The sequence below is a fragment of the Homo sapiens genome, chromosome 12 (assembly GCF_000001405.40).
Source record: "Homo sapiens chromosome 12, GRCh38.p14 Primary Assembly".
Lineage (NCBI taxonomy): Eukaryota > Metazoa > Chordata > Mammalia > Primates > Hominidae > Homo > Homo sapiens.
This window is the reverse complement of record NC_000012.12, coordinates 120,860,936-120,866,518: the sequence shown is the minus strand read 5'-3', so window position 1 is coordinate 120,866,518 and position 5,583 is coordinate 120,860,936. Positions and strand designations below refer to the sequence as shown.

The 5,583-nt window shown below is 40.6% G+C and overlaps 1 protein-coding gene across 2 annotated transcripts in view; it reads left to right on the top strand.

Moving 5' to 3' along the window:
* The window catches only part of SPPL3 (signal peptide peptidase like 3), a 141,849-nt gene that overhangs the window by 37,840 nt on the left and 98,426 nt on the right, over positions 1-5,583 (top strand). The window lies entirely within an intron of this gene.

The window sequence follows — 5,583 nt, the reverse complement described above, 5'->3', positions numbered from 1 at the left end:
GTAAATTATGCCTTACTATTTCAGTTAATTCAGAAAATGACTTTTGATGTTGACTATCTTTTAATAGTTCTAAATTCCTCAAATATAATGTTCTCTCTAGAGGTATATGTCCCAACCTTGCGTAATAGGAATTTCCTAATGTGTTGTTACACGGATTCCCAGGCTCTTTCCCTTAAGTTTATGATGTATAGTCTAGGGTGGAACCCAGGAATCTAGATTTGGCGGAGGTACCTTAGGTCACAGGCCTCCAACGTTTTTGGCACCAGGGACTGGTTTTGTGGAAGACAGTTTTTCTATGGATGGGGAGGAGGGGGAGGATGTTTTGGGGATGATTCAAGCACATTACTTTATGTTGCATTTTATTTCTGTTATTACACTGTAATATATAATGAAATATAATTATACAACTCACCATAATGGAGAATCAGTGGGAGCCCTGAGCTTGTTTTCCTGCAACTAGGCAGTCCCACCTGAGTGTGATGGGAATCAGTGACAGATCATCGGGCATTAGATTCTCATAAGGAGCACACAACCTAGATCCCTCGCATGCACAGTTCACAATAGGGTTCTCACTCCTATGAGAATCTAATGCCACTGCTGATCTGACAGGAGGTAGAACTCAGGCGTTAATGTGAGCGATGGGGAGCAGCTGTAAGTACAGATGATTTTGCTCACTTGCCTGCCTGTCTCCTCCTACAGTACGGCCCAGTTTCTAACAGGCCACTAACTGGTGGCAGTCTGTGGCCTGGGGGTTGGAGACCCCTGCCTTAGGTGATTCTTCCAGGCTAGCTTGGGAAACACTGCTGTAGAGCGTAGGCTCCTCCCTGGGGATCCTGCCTAGTCTTGACTACTGTATAAAATTTCATTGCTACAACTTAGAATGCATCTACTATCCCAGGATTATAGTAGTATAATATATACTAATAAATACAGTAATATTTAGAATATTGGTAACAGGTTGTGAGCACTTAACTGTGTGTAAGGACCCATGCCAAACACTGAATAGGTTGTTGAATCCTCACAGCTTTCATAGATAGATACTATTGTACTCATTTTGCAAATAAGGATAAATAATCTGTACAAGGCCTTACAGCCAGTAAGTGGTAGACCCAGGATTGGAACCCAAGCAAACTGACTTTAGAGCCTGTGCTCTTAAACCACACTGTACTGGCCGTTGTAGATCAGATGCTGAGCTGTGCTGATTGTGCAGTGCATTGTAGAGCAGTGTACAGTTCGCTATGAGCGTGAGGTAACAGATATGGTAAGACATGAAACAGTGGCATTTTCATGTGGGAGGGTGTCAGAGCAGTCAGCAGTTATATTAAAACAGTAACCAATCTTGAAGGGCCACAAAGTGATCAACTGGGTAACTGTTGATGTTTCTCTAGATTAGCACTTCTCAAAGTGTGGCCCCTATTTCCCTGGAAATCCCTGAAAATCTCTCATGGGATCCTCAAGGTCAAACCTTTATATAGTATTTCTGAGAAGTTATCTTTCTCTCTGTGTTAACATTTGTATTGATGGTACTGCTGGTGCCTAAGCGTGAATCAAGGCAGTGGCACCAAAGTGTGCTCATAGACATTGTATTCCACACACTCTACAGTTTTGTTTTGTTATTTTTTTAACCCAGTTTCACTTAAGAATGCGTAAAAAAATACTCCTTTGGTTAACTCTTGACACTAGATTGCACATCTTTTTAATGCTTTGTGTGATGTAATGGGAAGGTCACACAAGGCACTTCTGCTGCGTGTTGAAGTACTGTGGTTGTTTTAAGGAAAAGCACCTGTAGGGTTGAGTTACATGCTGACCTAACCATCTTTTTTCATGGACATTTTTACTTTTAAGAATAACTAATAAACTATGGTTATTCAGCTTTGAGTATTTGGCAGATTTTGTAAAAAATGAAAGGACTGATAATATTTGTTGCCAGTGATAAGATTTTTGGGCTTGATGACTTCCCAGGTTTTGTTTTTGTTTTTGTTTTTTGAGATGGGGTTTCGTTCTTGTCTGGGCTGGAGTGCAATGGCATGATCTCGGCTCGCTGCAGCCTCCGACTCCCAGGTTCAAGCAGTTCTCCTGCCTCAGCCTCCCAAGTAGCTGGGATTACAGGCATGTGCCACCACACCCGGCTGATTTTTATATTTTTAGTAGAGATGGAGTTTCACCATGTTGGCCAGGCTGGTCTTGAACTCCTGACCTCAGGTGATCCACCTAGCTCGGCCTCCCAAAGTGCTGGGATCACAGGCATGAGCCACTGGGCCTGGCCTACAACTTCCCAGTATTTAAAGACTTCTGTGATGAGATCAGTGGTAATAGATGGAATTTTTAGTATTGGATAATGAAATACATAAGCATTTTGAAGAGCTCACAACTGAGGAAACAAATATTAACTTACCAGTGCATGATGTACAGAATTATGCATGGGTAAGGATCCATTCAGAGTGAAGGCAGACATGGATTTTAATGTAACAGAGTACAGAAAGTTCATTGATAGGGTTTTAGATTTTACATTGGAGCTAACCTTTAGGAAACTACCATCTAGGCTGGGTGTGGTAGCTCATGCCCGGGATCTCAGCACCTTGGGAGGCCAAGGTGGGAGGATTGCTGGAGGCCAGGATTTCAAAACCAGCCTGGGCAGCAAGCAAGGCTCCATCTCTGCAAGAAAAAAAGAAAAGAAAAGAAAAAGAAAGCTACAAGAAAAAAAAAAAAAAAAGCTAAATGTGGTGACTTGACCCTGTGGGCCTAGCTACTTGGGAGGTTGAGGCAGGAGGATAGCTTCAGCCCAGGAGTTCGAGGCTACAGTCAGCTGTGATCACTCCAGCCTGAGCAATAAAACGAGAATACATTTCAAAAAGAATTAAAAAACCTACCATCTGTAGAATTTCATTTCAGTATTGAAGAATAATATCTACGATTACCTGAAAGGCTCTTAAAATACCACTCACATTTTAAACTATAGATATGCATGCAGTTGAATTTTCTTCATGTACTTGAACCAAACTATATATCATAGTACAGATTAAATGCCGAAGCAGATACGAGAATACTGCTGACTTCGATTAAGCCAGACATTAAAGATATTTGCAGAAATGTAAAACGGTACCATTCCTCTCACTAATTTTTACTTTCAAAAGAGTTATTTTTCATTAAAACTTTTTTTTTTTTTCTTTTGAGATGGAGTCTCGCTCTGTCACCCAGGCTGGGGTGCAGTGGTGTGATCTCAGCTCACTGCAACCTCTGCCTCCTGGGTTCAAGTGATTCTTCTGGCTTAGCCTCTGGAGTAGCCGGGATTATAGGCATGCACCACCACACCCAGCTAATTTTTGTATTTTTAGTAAAGATAGGGTTTCACCATGTTGGCCAGGCTGGTCTCAAACTCCTGACCTCAGGTGATCCACCCACCTCAGCCTCCCAGAGTGCTGGGATTACAGGTGTGTGCCACCATGCCTGGCCTAGATGTTGTGATAAATATATATTTGGTCTTTATCCCAGGTTCCTGGCATAATAGCTTTTATAATAAAGCCCTTAGAATTTCGTGATAGAGGAGAGAGGAGCATCTTTTGTTATTCATGAGAAGTCCCTTTCAACCCTACCTGAGTTTATGCTAATGAGCTGAGTCTTAGTGGGCTCCTAAATAGCTTCTGGATGATGACTGGTTGCTAGAAGAACCAATAGAGGGTTGGAAATATAACCCCTTCCCTCAACCTCTGCAGAGGGGAGAGGGGTTGGAGATTGAGCCCAGCCAGGAAAGGCCAGTGATTTAATCAATCATGCCTGTGTAATGGAACCTCCAAAAAATCCTTAAAAATTGAGTTCTGAGAGCTTCTGGACTTGTGAACTGGTGCTGGGAGGACAGTGCACCCACCGAAGGCATGGAAACTTTGCATACTCCTCTCAGCCCTCCATTCCTTGCCCTGTGCATGTCTTTTATTTTTCTGCTCCTGAGTTGTATCCTTTATAATAAACCAACAATAGTAAGTAAATTGTTTTCCTGAGTTCAGTGAGCCATCCTAGCAAATGGTCAAACCTGAGAAAGGGATTGTGGAAACCCCTAACTTTGTAGCTGATGAGTCAGAAGTACGGGTGACCTGGACTTGATACCGGCACCTGAAATAGAGGCAATCTCATGAGACCTAGCCCTTAACATGCAGGGCCTGTGACACCTTTGGGTAATAGTGTCAGAATTGAATTGATGAACATCTAATTATTATTGGAAAATTGGTTATTGACATGGAAAAAACCCACACATTTGGTGTCAGAAGTGTTAAGAGTAGAAACAGATCATAGAAATATGTGTAATTTATGTTAATGTATAATGAGTTTATTTTAAAATGAATAAATATTTTTCATATTCACAGTTTCAATGTCTAATATGGTAAATATCAGGAAGTATAATCTATATAAACAAATGCCCTTTGGGGTCCTCAACAAGAGTCCTGAACTAAAAAGTTTGAAAACTACTTCTCTGGACACTGTGGACATTATTTTCTGTAGTACTGCCTACATTGTAATTCATGTTCACTTATTTACTATTGTTTTGGAATCTTAATACCTTCAAGTATGTTGCTCAAAATTCTAGAATTGAAGACATGAAGATGTTGAGCACTACAGCCCAAAGTGATATTCCCAATCCTTTGAGTTCCCAGTCCCTCTCTTACCCCTAACTCCCTCACAGCCCTTCTGTTCTCTCCTTTTGGTATCTCAGAAATCTTGGGTATCAGAAATCATTTCATAATACAAGTAACAAGGAATAAGATAACCTGTTAGAAGATTGGATTGGTTTTTATATGTTACAATTTCAGGCATATGATTTTTAAATCTGCCAGAGAGGTGATTGTATACTGAGTAATATCAGTCAGCGTACTCCCCTGCCAGATAAACCAGGACTCAGTCCGCTGCTAGGATGCGTTTCAATGAAGACATCTGACCTGTGTGGTATGTCTTCAGGGCATTGTAGTTGACAGTAGTAATGCAAGGATCTACCACAGCCTGTTTAAAATATGACCAGAAATGTGGCTGCTGGAGTAGCTAGATGAAATATAGACCACACTGATAAAAAAAAATCTTACTCTTTTTCCCTTCCTGTTATTTATTGCCAACACCCTTTTCAAGGATCTGTCCTTTTGGAGAATTTTTGTACTTTGTCTCCTTCCTTTTTCTGTTTTTCTAGCATGTTCTCATTTAAGAATAAGCAAACTATGGCCTGCAAGCCAAATCTGACCTACAACCTGTTTTTGTAAATAAAGCTTTATTGTAACACAGCCATGCCCATTTGTTTACATATCATCTATGGCTGCTTTCATGCTAGAATGGCAGAGTTGATTTGAGAACAGTTGGCCCTGTCTCTGTGGGTTCCACATTCATGATTTAGTCAACCTCAGATAAAAAATATTTGAGGGAGAAAAAACAAAAGTAATACAAATGAAAACAATATGGTAAAACAGGTATTTATATAGCGTTTTCATTGTACTATGTATTGTAAGTAATATAGCGATGATTTAAAGTATATGAGAGTCCTGTGGAGCCCTGAAATGGGAGGAGGAAAAAAGTATACAGGTGGATGTGTGTAGGTTGTATGTAAAT